The sequence below is a fragment of the Homo sapiens genome, chromosome 9 (genome assembly GCF_000001405.40).
Source record: "Homo sapiens chromosome 9, GRCh38.p14 Primary Assembly".
NCBI lineage: Eukaryota > Metazoa > Chordata > Mammalia > Primates > Hominidae > Homo > Homo sapiens.
Genome location: NC_000009.12, coordinates 116469298 through 116488411, shown reverse-complemented (window position 1 = coordinate 116488411; position 19114 = coordinate 116469298). Strand labels below are relative to the sequence as shown.

Genomic DNA, 19114 nt, shown 5'->3' with positions numbered 1-19114 from the left:
CTGGCACCTTCACCATGCAGAGGAGAAAACTGAAGCACAAAAAATGAGGATTTAGTTGCCCAAGACTATACAGCAAATTCTCAACAGAACTAAGACTAGATCCCAAGAGTCTAGATGTTCAGTTATTCTTTCTAGTTTTCTTTACTTCCTAGACTTCTTTATTAGTTCTGTTTCTAGTAAACTTCCACTACTTCTTAAAATCCAATGGTTAGATTTAAAGTAAATTAAAGAAGTGATGGAGTTTGAGGATCACAAATATGTGGCACATAGTCTCCCATTGTTCCATCCTGTACATGGTGAACGTTCCATGACATCATGTACATCCTGTACATGGTGAAGGTTCCATGACCTTCATCACTAATCAATCACAGAACTCTTTACTCCTTAGCTGGTCTCTGTCCATCTCACTATAACACTCCATGAATCCAGTACCCATGCCTAACAGTGGCAATTTGACATGAAAATTATTTTACATCTTTAGTCCAGTTCCTTCATTATACAAAGAAGGAAAATGCAATTCTAAGAGAGAAGAGCTTTGCTCAAGGAGTTAACAGGGAGTGAATAACAGTGACAAGGCCAGAATAGTTACAGAAAAAAAAAAGCATAATATCCTTGCTACCTTTTCATAAATTTTTATTACACAATAATTTACCTCATTTGAGTCTTGCTACAATCTTATAAAGGTAGGTATTAGTGTTTCCACTTTATGGATGAAAAAATTGCGCATAAATATGAACAAAGAGTCATCAAGGCTAAATACAAATCTGTTTCATTTTCATATCTTTTGCTTTTTCTATCCATTATTTTTCTTGATAATGGTATCAAGACATTTGATAGGTTTGGATGACAGCAAAAACGTCTCCTCACTATGGCCTGAGCTGGGGAGCTCATCTTTCTTTTTCTCCCTCCAGGAGAATTCCTGAGTTTTGCTGATGACTTACTCTCTGGCCTGGGCACATCTTGTGTAGCAGCTGGTCGAAGCCATGGAGAGGTCCCTGAAGTCAGTATCTACTCAGTCATCTTCAAGTGTCTGGAGCCCGACGGTCTCTACAAGTAAGATGTGTTGGGTGTGTGGGGATCATGAGGCAGACAGGATGATTTTAAGCCTAAGAGGAATGGCATGAGTTATTCTGTGCAGGCCAGCCAAATGTTTTATTAGCTAGCCTGTATGTGCAACTTGAGATTCTAAGGTTTAGAAGTGTCCATTTGAGAAGTATGCCACAATGGATCACAGAATCACACCAGGTGAGTCCTGAAGTGCCCAGAGAGGCCAGAAATTTAAAACCATTCCTTCTACTGATTAGAAATCTGTAGCTCAGAGAGAGAAGAGGGCTTACTCAAGAGCACAGATGAAGTTATCAAGGATGGTTGGGTCAGGGATCTCTGCCTAGTGATCTTTTACCTCTTGTATCCTTTCTTCTCTTTAAATATTATATTAGTATATCTGATATATAGACACATACAGACTGAAATACGCATACTGAGATATATATGCTGATATATATATACAATATACACTTTTTTATTAATAGATCCAGCCAGCCTTTTAAAAATAGTGCAATTATCACTCCTTTGTAGAGTTCATTGGAGTCACTGCATTCAAACTTCTGGAGATGCAAGAGGCAGTCACTCTGAGCTTCATTTGTTAGCCTGGAAGAGAAAAGGAGCTCATTTGTTACTTTTTATTTCCTACCTCAATGAGTGTTGTTTTTAGATCTAGATGCAACCATCATAAGCTATAACATAGAGCTTTATAGACCACCTCTCCTTATGTACCCCAATTATGGAATGATAGCTCACCTCCCTTGTCAAGTTAGAAAGCTGAAGTTGTTACGAAGTTGAGCTTTATTCACCAGTTATTCAACTCATTTATTTATTACTGTATTTAGACACTCAGGGATTCATTCACTCATCCATTTAACTATCTGTCTACCCAAACATTCATCTATTTTCCATTTATCCCTCCCTCTTGCCCTTCTTCCCTCTTTCCCTCCATCCATTCGTCTCTTCATCCATCTATTCACCTGCTCTTACATTCCTTCATTACATTAATTTATTCATTCATCAATTACTTCATTCACATATTCATTTACTAATTCATAACTTATTTACTTATTCACTAGACATTTGCTGAGTATTTCTTGTGTTTTGGTTCTGCGCTAAGCACTGTGGATATGAATGAGACTAAGACAGAAGTCCTATCCTCAGATAACATAACCTAATAATTGTAAGAAAGGCCACAGACTATGGATTCAAATCTGGCTTTGACATTTTTAGTTATGTGACTTTAGGTAAGTTGCTTTACCCCTATAGGTCTCTTATAAAGCCTTTGTAAAACAAATAATAAAACCCACCTTGTAGAGTTGTGTGATAATTAAACAAGAAACACCCTGGCTTGGTATCTCCAAGCATGTGCTCAGTAAGTGTTAGTCCTTCCACAATCTGTGAACCTTGCTTACCTCAAAGCACAACCCATTTTCCCCTTCCTCTCCCTGCCTCTTCCTCACCCTTTTGAACACTTGAGATATTCACACTCCTTGGTAACAACCAATGTGTTGGGTCACCAAACTCAAGAATATCACCAAAAGCTGGCAATTGAGTCTTCTGCCCCTGGCTCTGCAACTGACTATCTCTTAGATGTTGGGACCCAAGCTTTATATTAAGTCACCTGGGGGGCAGTGAATGCTCTAGGAATGGAATCTTCAAAGTAAATATGCAATTCCACGTCTTCCAGTGGGACATCTGGGCAAATTTTACTAAGGTTTTAAGATGTACCTTAGGCCTTAAAGAATGACCACCATCCTCATGGTGAGTGGTGGGACTGGGGACTGACTTTGAGAGCACAACTCTACACACTCTTAAGCAGTAAGCACTCACCAACACCTTGGGCTCTGGGACAACTGCATGTGTGAGGTGAAACACAAGTATGTGACTACATTAAGAGCGATTAAGTCCTCTCTAACTCTGAAAACTATAATTCTGTGAAGAAAGTGAATGGCATTTTCAAAAGATTTTCTGATAGATGGCTTCTGGTTTCTCCCCTCCTTAGGGTTATAGACTGAAGGCACACAGACCTGGATTCAAATCCTGACCCTGTCCTTTATCAGCTCTGTGATGCTGAGTGAGCTGCCCATCCCTCTGAGCCTCCAATTCCTTCTCTTTGAAAATGTGGATAATGTGGTGTTTGGCTCACAGGGACCCCAGGAGGACTTGAAGGGATCATGGACAAAAGCTCTCTAGTGATGAGGTTCCAGTAGAAGCCTAAGAAGTGTTAGCTATTATCAATGTTGCTGTTGTTGCCCTTGTGATAATTTCAACTTTCTCCCATCCATCCACCAAATGATAGGAGATACAGCATCTAACAGGGAACGACAGAATCCTGTCGGGTGATTCCTATTCACTAATACAGAAGGAGTAACCCTGTCTCTGGGTGACGCTGTAGGGGCTTGATGTCAGCTGGACTGGAATCCTGCAGCCCCATTATGTAGACAGCAATGAAATGTTTTATGGAATCCTGAAAGCAATTAACACTGAGAGCTGACAAATCAGCTGACATTCTTTAAAAGTGATGAACACTTTCCTTTGCCCCTTCTTTTCCTCACTGCCTGACACCACCCCTCCTTTCCACCTCTTAAAATATGGAACATTCTTTCTTCCTCTGTCCTGGAAATGTGCTTGTCAGGAGCTTGTCATCTCTAACTCGGAACACTTCTCTATTTTATTTATGTATTTTTGAAATGGATGATGTTAATGGCCCTGGGATCCGGGCCGCTCTGACCAGGAACCAGGGTGTTGTTTGGAACAGTCTCTTATCCCATTGGCGGCTCTCCTCCCATGGAGTCTGACCAGCTCGGTCTGGAGTTTTAAAATAGTTCCAGTGTCAGTTCTTGGGGATTCTCATTTTTTGCTTGCTCATTTTTTACCCAAATTCGTCTTCCTCTTGAGCCAAGAAGACTGTGTGCGGCAGTAGAAATAGCACAGGCCTTGGGGACACGCAGGGCTGGGTGTGAACCCTGATACTGCCTCATGCTCATAACCTGCCCCGAGGCAGGTTTTTCACTGCTCTATGAGACAATTTCTACCTCTGGAAAAGGAGGCTGGTGATTGTCCCTATCTCAAAGGGTTGTAGGGAAGAGAGTTGACTTTGAAAACTCCACAAACAAGGCTTACCTGAATTATTGGCATATAGGCAGCCTGCAGGACGTGTTAGCCACTTTCTTCTTCTCCCCTGACTCTTCTCAGTCGCTGGTTATCAGTGTCTTTTCTAAGCACAGCTCTGGAGGAACTGGTCCTTATCAGGCAAGTTGGGGTCCCACTATCTTTGGAAGGAACGACCATCCAGAATCCTTTTGAGAGAAATGGAATGAGAGGAGAGGATTGATGTAGAGGAGAGAGGTCTCAGAAGGGACCAAGTTTTAGTTAAACACAGTCAGACACCAAATTCTGCACCCATGCTTTTAAAGGATTCAGGTGGCAGGAGAGTGAAGGACTAGTCTCTCCACTGGGGAATCTGGGCTCATGCCCTGCTACTACTTCTGCCTCTGGGACCTTGGATTAAATGTTCAGATTCCTTCCCTGTTCTGCAGTGTCAGCATCTTTAAAATCAAGGTGCATGAGATCCTAGCTCATGAGTTCTGTCATGGGATTTATTTTCATCCCCTCTCTCCTCCTGAGCTCCTGCCCTTCCAGCTTTTCTACCTCTCTCACATCTGTTTTGCACTACTGTGCCTCTCTGCGTCTCTGCCTTTTTCTCTTTGTCTTTTATTCCCTCTCTGTGTAAGTATTTTCTATATGACTTCCTGTCTTTGTCTGTCTGTCATTCTCCCTACCATTCCTGTTTTGTCTTTTTATTCATTATTTTAATTTCTGTTGCTATGAGTGTATCTCAGTTTCTTGGTCCTATTTTTTACTTGAATTTTGGCCTCTCTCCCTCTCTCTGACCCCACTCCAACCCCAACTCCCTCTTTCCACACCACCTAGGAAGGCAAATTTTTTCTGTAGCCCCTCCATCCATGTAAATTTACACAGTGCCACAGGGTAAGACCAAATGAAGGAGTGAAAGTCAAGGCTGATTTTCTGTCCTAAGCTCACCCTGGTGTAACAAAACAGAAACATCAGCACCCGTGCCCTGTTTAAATTGAATTTCCTTGTTTATTTCATTTGTTTTGCTTTTGAATGAAAACAAACAAAAGCAGCAGAGGGAGTGGGTCCCAGGAAGGTCTGACAGCAGGGCCAGCTCCTGCTGCCGTGGGTGGGTTGTTGGAATCGAGGGGTGACCCTGAGCAGGAGTCTCCACTCAGGGCCAATGGCTCAGGCCTGGCTGGGCATCCATGGTCCCTGCCCTTGCCTGGCCAAAGGCCCAGACACCCTTCTTGTAGCTGCTCTCCAATTTCCTATTACCCAAGGTAATTAGCCTCTGTCTTGTCTTGGCTGCCTTGCCTTTCTCTAATTGTGGAAGGCTGCCAAAGGGTCCTCAGCAAGCATGCCAGCAGCAGCCAGGCCTGATTCCTGGGGTGGGGGATGCATTCCCACACATTCAGAGGCTTGCCCCAGACCCGCCCTCACCTCCCTGGCTTCAGCTCTATGAAAGGAATGCCAAGGGAGCCTGGGGACTGTAGCCAAGTGCCAACATCCATGGTGGGAACAGAGGCTTAGGCCAGAGGCTCTATCTTAGCGGGGTGGGTAGAGTTGGAAGAGTAGAAGAAAAAGCAAAGCCCCGGAGAAGGGAGGGCATTGTGAAAAAAAGCCCGAGGTTGGGAGTCCGACAGCAAGTTTCACATTTGCTCTCAGTGGTACGTTGGGTCAGTTCTTCCCCCTCCTCTGGTCTTAGTATTATTTGTGACATGGAAAGGTTAAGTTCAGTGAGCCCGGAGGCTTGCACACTGAGGCAGGAATGGAGACTCCAAACAGAGGTTCTGATGCCCAGTGCCACCAGGACTTTCTGGATAATACTGCTAGTAATAATATTTTATTGAGTATTCACTATGTGCCAGGAACCATTCTAAGGTATGTGTACTATCTCATTCAATTCTCATGATAAACCTAGAGATAGGGTAGTGTTTTTTTGTTTTGTTTTGTTTTGTTTTGAGACGGAGTCTTGCTCTGTCACCCAGGCTGGAGTGCAGGGGCGCAATCTTGGCTCACTGCAAGCTCCACCTCCCGGGTTCACGCCATTCTCCTGCCTCAGCCTCCTGAGTAGCTGGGACTACAGGCGCCTGCCACCACGCCCGGCTAATATTTTGTGTTTTCAGTAGAGACAGGGTTTCACCGTGTTAGCCAGGATGGTCTCGATCTCTTGACCTTGTGATCCGCCTGCCTCGGCCTCCCAAAGTGCTGGGATTACAGGCGTGAGCCACTGTGCCCGGCCGGGTAGTGTTATTTTTGGCCTCTCCCATTTCACAGGTGGGAAAGCTAGAGCTTAAGGGAGTGATCATTTTCCCCAATGTCACATAATGAGAAGGAGTAGAGCTCAGATTCATACCCAAGCTGATTCTTAATGCCCACCTGCTCCTCTCCTCCCCTCCTCCCATGTGCTGTTCAAAGCACCTGGTGAGGTATGAGTGGAAGAGAACTTCCTAACTGCAAATGACACTGTTTGCAATGGAAAGAATACTAGGCTTGGGGGCCGAAGACTCAGATCACAGCCTATAGATGGGAGGTGGGGGTACTTCACACCTCATCCTTCTCATTCCTAAAATGGAGATAATCAGTCTTATCCATAAAATGGAGATAATTTGTCATACCTCCCCCAAATTAAATTGGATAGTAGACAGAAATTCACTTCAACATTTTCATAAGATTGTGTACACGTGTGAAGGGTTATCAGTGCCACTCTATGTTTTTCAAAAAGCAGCAACAGGAAAGGCAATAGACTTTGTGAATCTGCATCCCCTACCACTACTAGCACATGCACATAATTTTAAATTAGGCCTATGAAATCAGACAGAGGTGGGTTTTTACCCACTGTGTGGCCTTGGGCAAGTTTCTTCACCTCTCTGTTTCAGATTTTTTGTTTCATTTTGATTTTTTTGAGACAGAGTCTGGCTCTGTCACTGAGGTTCTGGAGGGCAGTGGTGCAATCACAGCTCACTGCAGCCTCAATCTCCCAGGCTCAAGCCATCCTCCCACCTCAGCCTCCTGAGTAACTGGTACTACAGGCATGTGCCATCATGTCCAGCTAATTTTTGTATCTTTTGTAGAGACGGGATTTTGCCATGTTGCCCAGGCTGGTCTCGAGCTCAAGCCATTTACCTGCCTCAGCCTCCCAAAGTGCTGAGATTACAGGCATGTGCAACCATGCCCAGACTGCTTCAGTTTTTTATCTATAAAACTGAATCATAATAGGATCTATTTCATAGGGTTATGAGGATACAATGAACTAAAATATGTAAAGAGGACAAGATAATGTCTAGCTCATTGTCAGTGCTTACCAAATGGCAGCAGGAGGAGGAGTAACCACTGTGACTACTATTTGTGATGACAGACATTACCTAAGCAGTGACACGTGGGATGGCCTCTGCTGACACCATATGTTCACAGCCTTCCAGCAGGTTGGCGTTCTTCTCCCACACTTGCCCCTACCCACCACTCTGCAGGCACGCTTGCTAGAGTGCGCCAGTCTCTTCCTTCCTCAAGGTCTTTGCCTCTACTGTTCTCTTTCCCTGGGATGTCCTTCCCTTGACTCTTCCCATGTGTGTTTCCTTGTTCTCCTTCAGGTCCATGATTAGATGTTGCCTCTTTAGAGACATCTTCCTTTGCCACTTTTATCTACCTGCCTGTCATGCACACAGACACACAAAGCCATGGTACTCACTAATACTGTAATGATTTAGTCTCTGTTACTTGTTTTTGTCTATCTTTTCTCACTAGAAGGACATTGGACCAAGGTCTGTGCCTGCCTTGTTCATCCTCTATCCCTGGTACCTAGAACAGTAACTGACACTAATTAAGAATCCAATAAATCTTTGTCGAATTATTTGAACAAATTTTCAAGTCAATGTGGAAATTCTGTAGACACTGACTTCTCCCCTTCACTCATGTAAAATTTCCTACTCACTTTCTCACCAAATATTCAGGAGACACCCACTATGTGCCAGGCTGTGGTCCAGTACTGTATCTCTACATCTGTCTCTAGGTTTCTATGTTTCTATTTCTATCTTTCTCTGTCTGCTTTCCTCTCTTGGCTCCCTCCTTCTTTCCACTTCCCTCTCTCCCTCCTTCCCTTCCTTTCCCTTCCTCCCTTCCTTCCTTCCTTTCCCACTTCCTCCCTTTCTTCCTTCCTTCTTTCCTTCCTTCCTTTCTTCACCCATCCTTCCTTCCTTGCTTCCCTCCCTCTCTCTCTTTTTCTTTCTTTCTTATAAACCTTATTTAATCTAATCCTCACAACAACTCTGTAAGGTAGTTGCTACTATTCTCACCTAACAGATAAGGCAACTAAGGCACAGAGAGGTTAGGTAACTTGACTACCGCCACAAAGCTAGTAAGTAGAGGCAGATTTCCAACCAGTTTATCTCCACTGCCTGAACTGAAAATTGCCACACCGAATTATGAGAAGAGTTGGGCATATAGAAATGACAGGGGTCAGAGTGGAAGCTGTGGGCAGGGATCTTTTATACAAAGATCCATGCCCAAATGGGTTAGAAACAATATGGAAAACACACTTTTAGTTGTCACACAAAAGCTACATGGCTACCATTGAATTTCAAACTTTGTCCCTTCCCCGCAGTCCTCACAGCACTACACACACAATTGTATGTGGGGTCTGCATGAGGACCCCTGCTCCTCCCTAGGGATGGACTCCCATTGTCATTTGTGCGATGCCCTTGATTTCCCAGCTCTCATCTGCCGAGCTGTTTCCCAGCACTGTCAGACTCCCATGTGTCTCAGCAAGCAAGTCCAGGCTCCTGGCCCAACAATCCTATTCCAAAAGCCCAGGGGGCTGAGAGCCTTGGATGGAGCATTGCTGGCCTGTCCACCACCCTCAGGACACCACCTCTCCTGGGCACAGCCTGGGAAGCACATCACAGAGGCAGCCAGGGCCACCACCATGGATACTATAATTATATATTAGATGAAATCCCAATGTTTCCCTTTATTTACATTCCTACCCTACCCTCTTCATTTCCTTTCTTCATGCCAAAAATCAGCACAGAATTTACTGGAAACAGCATGAAAGTCATCAGGAGCCCTCCAGGGCTTGCTTTCAAAAGTGCTTGTCCAGATGATAGGAGGTGAGATTGCTGAGGGTCATCCTGTCTCTGGCCCTTAGCAGCTATGGGGCCTTTGGCAAGTGGCTTCCACTTTGGAGGTCTTCGTTTCTCCATTTGTAGAAGAGGGTTTGAAAGGGGCCATCTCAAATGAACTTTTCATGAATTCAGAGGCTGTGCATTTCCCTTTTTTTTTTTTTTTTTTTTTTTTTTTGAGGCACAGTCTCCTTCTGTCGCCCAGACTGGAGTGCAGTAGTGCAATCTCAGCTCACTGCAACCTCTGCCTCCCGGGTTCAAGCGGTTCTTCTGCTTCAGCCCCCTGAGTAGCTGGGACTACAGGCACGTGCCACTGTGCCCAGCTAATTTTTGTATTTTTAGTAGAGATGGGGTTTCACCATATTGGCCAGGCTGGTTCGAACTCCTGACCTCGTGATCCACCTGTCTTGGCCTCCCAAAGTGCTGGGATTACATGTGTGAGCCACTGCGCCCAGCCTGAGGCTGTGCATTTCAAAAGATGATGGGGGCAAGAAGACAGACACCAGCCCCTGGCAACTGGGGAGGCAAGGGTCTAGTCCAGGTGAAAGAATTTCATTCAGCTTAAGGTCAGATATTTCTGCTTTCTCTTAGCATCAGTGACCCAACCTGCTCAGTGGGCCTGTCAGGCCACATCCTAGATAGGACCCTGAAGGGACTTTCAGCTCCTATGAGAAGGGAGCAAAGAGGAAACCTTCCATGCTGACCAGAGGCCTGAGCTGCAGCCCAGGGTTTATCCAGGACACACCAGGGAAAGAATCCAGGAGAGGCTTGATAGGGTTCTTGTGCTGCTCTGTTCTGGCTTTTTCTTCCCATTGTGAACTTTTCTTTCCTTATTTCATTTTATTCCTCCTTTCCTCCCTCCATTCTTCATTTTCTTCCCTGGCTCTCTTCCTTCCTTCCTTCCTTCCTTCCTTCCCTCCCTCCCTCCCTCCCTCCCCCCTTACTCCCCCACTACCCCTCCCTTTCCTTCTTTCCTTCCTTCCTTTCTCCCTCCCCTTCCCTCCTCCTTCCCTTCCTTCCTGTATCCCTCCCTCCCTTCCTTTCTCCCTCCCTACCCCCTCCCTCTCTTTCTTCCTGTTTCCCTGCTTCCTCTCCCATATTTGTAACATCTCTCCTTTGCTTTCTCCTTTTGTTCTTTTTTTAACTGTTTCTGCCTGGCCTTTTATTTCCCCCTCTGCCCTCTGTTTCTTCTCTTTTCTTTCTTGTTCTCTCTTTCTTGGTCATGGACACTACTTCCCTCTCCGTGTCACCCTGGCTTCCTGTCCATCTCTCTCTGTCTTTTTCTTTTCTTTCATTTTTTTTTTTTTTCTTTTTTGATTAGGGATCTCACTGTGTTGCCCAGGCTGGTCTTGAACTTCTGAGCTCAAGCCATCCACCTGCCTTGGTCTCCCAAAGTACTGGGATTACAGGCGTGAGCCACCGTGCCTGGCCTGTCTCTGTCTTTTTGTGTCTGTATGTACCTCTCTTCTACTTGCTCTCTCTGTGTCTCTACCCCTGTCTCTTTCTCCTTTTCTTATCACTTCTCAGTCCCTCTCTTGCTCAGCCCTAGGGTCGCTCTTCTTTTATCCTCCTGTGCATTTTTCTCTCCACTTTCCTCCTCCGACACCCAAACAGCCCACACCAGCCTAAGTACAAGGATTTCTGCCTATTATCTGATTCTGGGCTGAATGGCAATTTAGGTGTGGCCAAGGGTCTCGGAGCTCAGTAGGGACGGGGGTGACTGATGTCCCCAAACTCGAGTGGAATGTGAACTTCCCTTGGCTGTGGTGTCCAGTCCTAATTGGTTAGGGGATGGGGGCAAGTACGGCAGCCTGGCGACTCAATTCCATCTAACATCAGGTCGTACTGACCTCTCCAAAGTGCACAGTTGGGGCCTGGGAGAGGGGAATAGCTGTCCTCAAGCCAGAAGCAAATACAGCCGTGCATCCCAAGCCAAGAGAGACTCGTAGAGGAAAAATAACGCTGTTTTTCAGCCGACAGACAGTGAGGCTCCTAAAACCTGCTGGGGACTCTCAAGCAGGCTGTTTCTTTCCTCACACTGCGTCAAGATTCCATCCAGGAATGGGACACCAGCCAGGGTTCCAGAGGGACAGGGCACAGACTGCTCATGTGACCTTGTGGAGTGGGGAGGGGGTGGGAGCTGAGGCTGCGCTGGAGGGCTAAGCCTTGAATACTGAGCAGAGGAGCTGGGCTTTCTCCTGCAGGCGGAGGGGAGCTGGGCTTTCTCCTGCAGGCAGAGGGGAGCCAGGAAGGGCACTGGAGGAGGGACAGGATGTATCTTAACCTGTGTTTTGTGGTGACAACCCTGACCATGGTTTGGAGAACAGGCTGAGTTGAGTTGAGAGCCAGGAGGGCCATTTGATATTGATAAAAGGGGGAAGGATGGAGTCCACACACATTTGGGGACCAGCGAGTGTTGCTCTGATTAGCGAATGTGCTGGGCCAAAATGGAACAGCACAGTCTCAGGAAACATCTGGAAACAGATTTTTCATAACTTACTGCAGTGCACAGTGTTCAAGAAAAGCGCATATTTGTTGACTGTCTAGGAGGTGCCTCACAGTAAGGTAGGCACTTGTGCTGCAGAACTAACCAAACCAAAGTATTTGCCCTCATGGAGCTCATATTCATGGTGATGAATACAGAGAAAGGACCAGGCTGTTACCTGACACTGCATATCATGCTCCAGGGACCGTGGGGACACCAAGGAAGAGCCACTAGCCCAGCCAGGGGAACCCTCCGCTGCAAGTCTTCTGAGGAAGTGAGAGGATGGATTGCAGTGGGTTGAACAGTGTCCTTGAAAAATTCACATCTACCTGAAACCTTGGGATGGGGCTTTATTTGGAAATCATCTTTGCAGATGTATTTACTTAAGGATCAAGATGAGGTAATACTGGATTAAGTTAATTCCTTAATTCAGTGACTGATGCCGCTCTGAGAAGACAGAGCAAAGAAGGCATGTGAAGACAGAGGCTGAGATTAGAGTGATGCCGCCTCAAGCCAAGGAACACCTCGGGCCATCCGAAGCTGAGAGTGGCAAGGAAGGATTCTTTCCAAGAGCCTTCAGAGGAAGCATGGCCCTGCGGATGCCATGATTTCACACGTCTAGCCTCTAGAACTCTGAGAGAGTACACTTCTGTTGTTTTAAGCCACCAAATTTGTGGTGCCCTTTTAATGGTAGCCCTAAGAAACTAATATGAGGGAAAAGAGGATTTGGGACAGAGGACAGACTGTGAGCAGGCTGGGGGACGAGAGACAACGCTGCAGCAGAGAGTGTAACTGGAATGTGGAAGGCCAGGGAAAGTAGGAGATTTGGGGCTATGGAGGCAGGCGAGGACCTCATCATCCAAGTTGGGCTCCATGAGGAGTATGGGGAAGCTTCCAGGGAGTTGGTGGGATGAATGAGCTTCATTGCTGCAGGAAAGAGTTGACTTGCAAGGGGAAGGCCAAGCATCTGAACAATGCCTAGAGGAGAGGAAGCAGGTCCCCGAGGCCCTTGAAATGATGACCATGAAGAACGCTTGAGTGACCTTGAATGTTTATTCAAGTTAAGAAAAGACACAAAAGGGTGCACCCAATGTCTTCAACCCTCTGTAGAGCTGCACAGGGGTACAGGGCACAGATGTGTTCACTGTGACTCCAGAGAGCAGGACAGTGGTACAAGGCTATAAGGCAGATTGATTTTGGATCACTACAGGAAATGTTCTATTACTGGCCTTCAGTGGGCTGGAAGTCTCGGTGGGCAGTGAGAGCCCCATGCTCAGGGCAGCAGGGAGCTGTTAGGGATGAGGCAAACTCTAAGCCATGCTTTGTAAGGAGGAACTTGCCAGTGATGGCAATGAGTCATTGTGGCCAGATGCTTGATAATAGGGAGGAGTGAGGACTGCAGTAAATTAGGCATGGCACAGAGAATACTTAGTTCCAGCTGCTGGTTACCATTTGAGACTGCTGATTTGGTGTTAATACATCTTCCAAGCCAGAAATCTAGATGTTTATGTGAAACCTCCTAATTATTACATGCTGGCAACCAATTTAAAATTGGCCAAATAAACCAATTTTGTAGGTAACAACCAGCAGATCATTAATTTGGGAACTCTTATCTAGGCCACTTCTCTCAGTGTATAGATGAGGAAGCTGAGACCCCAAGAGACTCTGGCATCATAGTCAAGGCAGAGCCAGGAATGATACATGGGAATCCTGACTTCTGACTTCTGTCTTTTACCAGTAGGCTGTGACCATCACTTTCTACTTTAGGGTTCCTTGTCAGGAACAAAGTACCCAGTTAGTTCAACATAGGGAGAGGCTTCTGGAGTGGGATCACAAGCCCCACCTAGGCTGCATGCCCAGCTTTGCTGTCCATCCACCTGGGGCCTTGGGCAAAGAACTTCATTTTTCTGATCCTCAGTTTCTTTTTCATTGCAATGAGGGGCTCAGATAGAGAAGTTCATTTCTACTCTGATCATTTAAGACTCTAGGAATGAAACCAGGCTAGAGGCCAGGCTTCCTAACTTTTCCCTGCTCTCATTATCTTGGCTGTGGGTCCATCACTGCACATGAAGGGGCTGCCTTCCCCCTATGCCCATCTCCATCTGTGAAGGAGGTTGTGAGCAGTCTTGAGTCATCACTGGAAAGGTGTTAGTGGACTGCAGGGATTACCATTAATGATGTGTAGAGAGTCAGAGGTGAGACGGAATCCAGACTTCTGGCATTTTTCTTGCTGCTCTGTTCTCCTTTCCTCCAAAGACAGACCCCCATCCACCAACAACCCTATTCCACTTTCATATTTGAATCACAGGATAGTGAGACTGCAAACACCACTGATCTAAACCCTCTCTCTTTATGGGAAAAACTAAAGCCCAGGGAGGAGATAGGGCTTGACCCAGGTCACCCAGACAGGCAGAGCAGAGCTGGGCTGAACCAGGACTCTTCACCTCCGTTATAGCCTACCTGCTGCTCTCTGGTACTAGATTCAAGCACCCATCTGCCCCGATCCTCTTGGGTATCTGAGAGTCTACGAGCATGGGGTCTTGAGTCAGACTATTCTAGGGTCATTTCAAATCTCAGACAGTTTCTGGCTGTACAAGATGCTTATTTCTCCTGGGTCTCAATTTCTATATCTGTACAGTGAGGGTATTGCCATTTTCCATGTTAGAATTTTGTTGTGAAACAAATACACATGCAGAGCTCCCAAGCATAGGGTGTCCAGAACAATATTAAACACATACCAAGTACATATAAGATCTTTCTTGAGTAGGTCTTTTTTTTTTTTTGAGATAGAGTCTTGCTCTGTTGCCCAGACTAGAGTGCAGTGGTGCGATCTCAGCCCACTGCAACCTCCGCTTCCTGGGTTCAAGCGATTCTCCTGCCTCAGCCTCCCGAGTAGCTGGGTTACAGGTGCCCACCAACACGCCCAGCTAATTTTTGTATTTTTAGTAGAGACGGCATTTTGCCATGTTGGCCCAGCTGGGCTGGTCTCGAACTCCTGACGTCAGGTGATCCGTCTGCCTTGGCCTCCCAAAGTGCTGGGATTACAGGCATGAGCCACCACACCTGGCCTTGAATAGGTCTTTATCTGCCAACTGAAATGATGACCTTGAAGGGGACTCATGCTTGGCTAATTGTCCTGCCCACTGTGCAGTTACTCACGTTTTTCTGTTCCTGAGCATTTCCCAGAAGCCCTTTGGACATGGGATCTGGCTAGTTTGGATTGTTTTCCCCCATCATCTGACGTAACAAGAGATGCCTTTCCTCCCTCTCTTTTTATTCTACTATTCCTTGAACCTATAATGTTTCTCTTTATCATAAAGAATGAAAACTGTCTGTAATCTAAGAGTAGAATAGGTTTTAGAAACCATGGTTTAGTTACCTGTAAATCCATAACATATGGCCTGGCACTTAGTAGGTACTTAATTTAGCAAACATCAAAGATCGATAATAGGTATTACAGGTTGAATGAATGAAGACAGTCTGTCATGTATGCAGTGTAGCTATCAGCCAAGAACATGGTTCCTGCCTCCCAGTCGTTGTCATCATGTACCATTTATCAAACTCTATTACATGCCATTCATTATGCAAAGTCTTTTGGTCCACTAACTCTTTGAACCTTAATAATATGGTACCCTCTAAGGTAGATACTATCCCTATTTTACAGGCAAGGAAACTAAGATGGGAAGGCTTAATGGTTTGCCCAAGGTCATCTTATTAGTAAATGGCAGAACCATGATTCTTTTTTTTTTTTTTTTTCCAAGACAGAGTCTCGCTCTGTTGCCCAGGCTGGAGTGCAGTGGCACAATCTCAGCTCACTGCAAACTCCACCTCCCGGGTTCAAGCGATTCTCCTGCCTCAGCCTCCTGAGTAGCTGGAATTACAGGTGTGCCCCCTCCGCCGCCGCCACCACCAACATGGCTATTTTTTTTTTTTTTGTATTTTTAGTAGAGACTGGGTTTTGCTATGTCGGCCAGGCTGGTCTTGAACTCCTGACCTCAAATGATCTGCCTGCCTCAGCCTCCCAAGGTGCTGGGATTACAGGTATGAGCTACCACGCCTGGCCAGAACCATGATTCTAACACAAGCTATCTAGCTCCAAAATCTGCACTTGTGTATTCTTATGCACTTCTCTCTTAGGCAGTGACCAAGCTGCAATTCAAAGTCTTATGGCTGAGACTGAAAGAGCTTTGCCCAGTGTTAGGGACAAACTTTTAAGCAGCTAATCATATTGGGGGTAGAAGGTGATTTGCCCCATAATAAAGGCATGCGAGTTCTGAGGAGGCTGTGATCTCTAACAGCTAGTGTGCCTTTGGGGAGGTGCCTTTGAGCTAGGTCTGGAAGAATGGATAGCATTGAACACTTAGAACTGGGGAAGTTATTGCATCACAGGCAGAAGGAATAGCTGAAATGAAGGCAGGGAGGTAGGATATTGAAGGGACCACATATGGGGTACAACAGAGATTCAGGGCAGTTGAAATGTACAGTATATGAGGTTGGAGAGGCAGGACTTGCAAGGCCTCATAACGTGTGCTAAGGAGGAGCAGTGATAAGGCCACAGTTGGGTTATAGAAAGATCTTCGTGGTGTATAAGTTAGAATAGAGGAGACTGCAGGTAGGGAGACTAGCTCGGGGTCTGGCTGAATGAATCTGGAATTAGAACCATGCAGGGGGCTGGAAAGGAGGAGACAGACGATGGAGGTCATGGCATGTGGGGCTGTTGCACTCGCGGGTTTTGTTGGGAATCTATCAAAGCACAACCAGTAAGCCAGCCTTAGTGAGAAGACAGAGCCCAAGGTTTGAAATGTAAAAATCTGGTTTCAAATTCTGACTCCCTCAGTTCTTAGCTGGGTAGCCTTTGAAAAATTGCCTAACCTTGGAGACCAAGCCTCTTCCTGCATCCAAAAAGTGAGAGTAATAAATTCTTCTTCAGAGTGTATGTGTGAAATTAAAACCAAATATTCCATATGTCCATTTCTGGCACCTAGTAGGCCCTTTATTCCTAAGAATTTCCTGCTGTCCTTTCCATTTGCTTCACTCTTATTGCAGTAAGCATTCATATGAATTCCCCCCTCCCTCCACCCCCTTTACTGCCCAACTTCCTTCTCTGTCCCTCTTTCCCCGGGATGCCAGAAATGAAATAACATTCTTCGCGTGTTTGTTCTAAAGCTCCTGGCAGCCTTCCCAAAGACCCCTGGCTGGGTCAGGACTGATTTGCATTAGCATGTGTGAGGCCAGCCTGAAGGGGAGGGAGAGGCCCTGTTTTCAGGGAGTTTCAGGAGGCACCCCTGCCAGAAAAAGAAGTTACTATTTCTTTCTGGGAAACATTCACAGATTAAAACAAGCAAGAAAGGCCGGGAAGCTGTCTCGCTTGTGGAGAGGTTGTGTGTGGGTGAGCTGCCTATCTGACTCTCACGACTGGATCCAACTCCTCTCACCCTTATCGCAGGCCTGTCCCCAGAAATCTCTCCTCCAAAGAGTGTAGTAACTTAACACCATTACATAGATCTTTCTTAATCATATCTATAGCCTGTAACAGGGGGAAGAGAGAGAGCAAAGGGGCAAAGAAGACACTCAGAAGCTACAGGATAAGTAAACAGCAATTTTGCTGGCTTCTACACAGATATTAAATCAATTTAAAAAATCATTTTAAAAAAGAAAAAGGAGAGGAAACCCCAGAGATTTTTCATTTGTTTGTTTTTGCTTTAGTCTTGTTAATTTTTGAACAATACATCGTCTTAGAGTTATAACTTTCTTCCAGGAATCTCAATACCCTTGTCCCAATGTAGGTAACCAATGGCAGGCCAAGGAGAGTACCCACCATAAAGCATTGGCATTATGAAATATGCCATTTTTAGAGGCAAGAATCATGCCATTTACAGAGAGGACAAATGAGTTCTGGGTGCTTTATTGGACTTTATTTAACTTCCCATAATTTCCCTTATTCATCTTCACTCCACAATATGAATATGCTTTCTTCAGGTAGGACTTTTGCCTTCTCTTCAGTGAAGAGTGTTCATGTAAATACTTTGGAGTGCAAATAAAAGAATCAATGATATGAATGGCTATTATATAAAGAGTGCTTTCAATATACCAGGCACCATTCTAAATAATTTCTGTAAGTTAATCCATCCACCCTTCTCAATGAGACAGTGTTTTTTTATTATCACTATTTTGCAGATGAGAAAACCAAAGCCCAAAGAAGTCAAAAAAATTTACCAAAAGCCATGCCACAAGTCAGTAGCAGAGCCAGGATGTGAACTCAGACAGTTTGTCTCTAGAGTCTAACTTCCTAGTTATTAACTGATCCAGCATCCCCAGAAGTCACATTAGCATTTAAGGAGCCTAGCTCACACCACAGCATGCGCTCTTCCCCTTCACAGGGCCTCAGAACACGCCGAATCTTTTCCCTGGGTTAACACTATTCATCCTTCAGTGTTCAGCCTAAATCTTTTTATTTTTTTTATTTTTTATTTTTATTTTTGATATGGTGTCTCGCTCTGTCACCCAGGCTGGAGTGCAGTGGTGTGATCTTGGCTCACTGCAACCTCTGCCTCCCCAGTTCAAGCAATTCTCCTGGCTCAGCCTCCTGAGTAGCTGGGATTACAGGTGCCCACCACCATGCCCAGCTAATTTTTGTATTTTTAGTAGAGGCGGGTTTTGCCATGTTGGTCAGGCTGGTCTCGAACTCCTGACCTCAGGTGATCCTGCCACCTCGGCCTCCTAAAGTGCTGTGATTACAGACGTGAGCCACCGTGCCCAGCCTCAGCCTAAATCTACATCCTCAGAATGGCATCCCCAGAACCCATAATCTAAATTATGTACCTCACCTCCTTTCTTTATTGCAATTATCAAACATTACAATACAGATTTATGTGTGTATTAACGTTCCCTGTTAGACTTGACAGTTTATGGGGTATAGTGTTTGTTTTATCTGTGTACACTCAATTGCACAAACACAGAGACACTCAATAAGTATGTATTGTATACATAAGTGAATATATGCAATATCACATTTTAGCATAGCTAGAATTATTAGGCAGATACTTTTCCCCTCTCACTTTAGAGATGAAGAAATGAAGGCTCATGAAGGTTCAATAAATTGGCCAAAGTCACTGAGGGAATAAGTGGCAGAACTAGCATTTGAAAGCAGGTCTTTTCTGACCGACCTCAGAGCTCAGGCTCTGACCCGCTGAACTATATTCCCTCCTGCTGAGCTTTATAAGGGGCACAGGGGAATGAGGCAGGGTTTGCCCTAAAAAGTTCTCTATTCTGCTGGGAGGAGCCAGTTGTATACATAAACCACTATACCACAAGCCAATTGAAATTGGTGAACTGGTTCTATGACGTCATATAGATCATGGACTATGGAAAAAAAAAACCACTTGAG

General features: G+C 45.4%; 1 protein-coding gene across 7 annotated transcripts in view, besides 3 other annotated features; it reads left to right on the top strand.

Annotated features, from left to right (window-relative positions):
- The window catches only part of ASTN2 (astrotactin 2), a 991946-nt gene that overhangs the window by 926646 nt on the left and 46186 nt on the right, over positions 1-19114 (top strand). For all 7 annotated transcript variants that reach the window (NM_014010.5, NM_001365069.1, NM_001365068.1 and 4 more), the window contains one exon: positions 912-1053. In NM_014010.5, the coding sequence (NP_054729.3) occupies positions 912-1053 (142 nt within the window). The remainder of the gene's footprint in view (positions 1-911; positions 1054-19114) is intronic.
- Positions 5799-6745: an enhancer, noted in NCBI's record as "H3K4me1 hESC enhancer chr9:119243946-119244892 (GRCh37/hg19 assembly coordinates)". NCBI's record gives its function as "activates a minimal SCP1, AML or CMV promoter by ChIP-STARR-seq in naive H9 embryonic stem cells {active_cell/tissue: H9 hESC(naive)}" and the evidence as "EXISTENCE:reporter gene assay evidence [ECO:0000049][PMID:30033119]".
- Positions 16405-16995: an enhancer, noted in NCBI's record as "NANOG-H3K27ac hESC enhancer chr9:119233696-119234286 (GRCh37/hg19 assembly coordinates)". NCBI's record gives its function as "activates a minimal SCP1, AML or CMV promoter by ChIP-STARR-seq in naive and primed H9 embryonic stem cells {active_cell/tissue: H9 hESC(naive and primed)}" and the evidence as "EXISTENCE:reporter gene assay evidence [ECO:0000049][PMID:30033119]".
- Positions 16996-17587: an enhancer, noted in NCBI's record as "NANOG-H3K27ac hESC enhancer chr9:119233104-119233695 (GRCh37/hg19 assembly coordinates)". NCBI's record gives its function as "activates a minimal SCP1, AML or CMV promoter by ChIP-STARR-seq in naive and primed H9 embryonic stem cells {active_cell/tissue: H9 hESC(naive and primed)}" and the evidence as "EXISTENCE:reporter gene assay evidence [ECO:0000049][PMID:30033119]".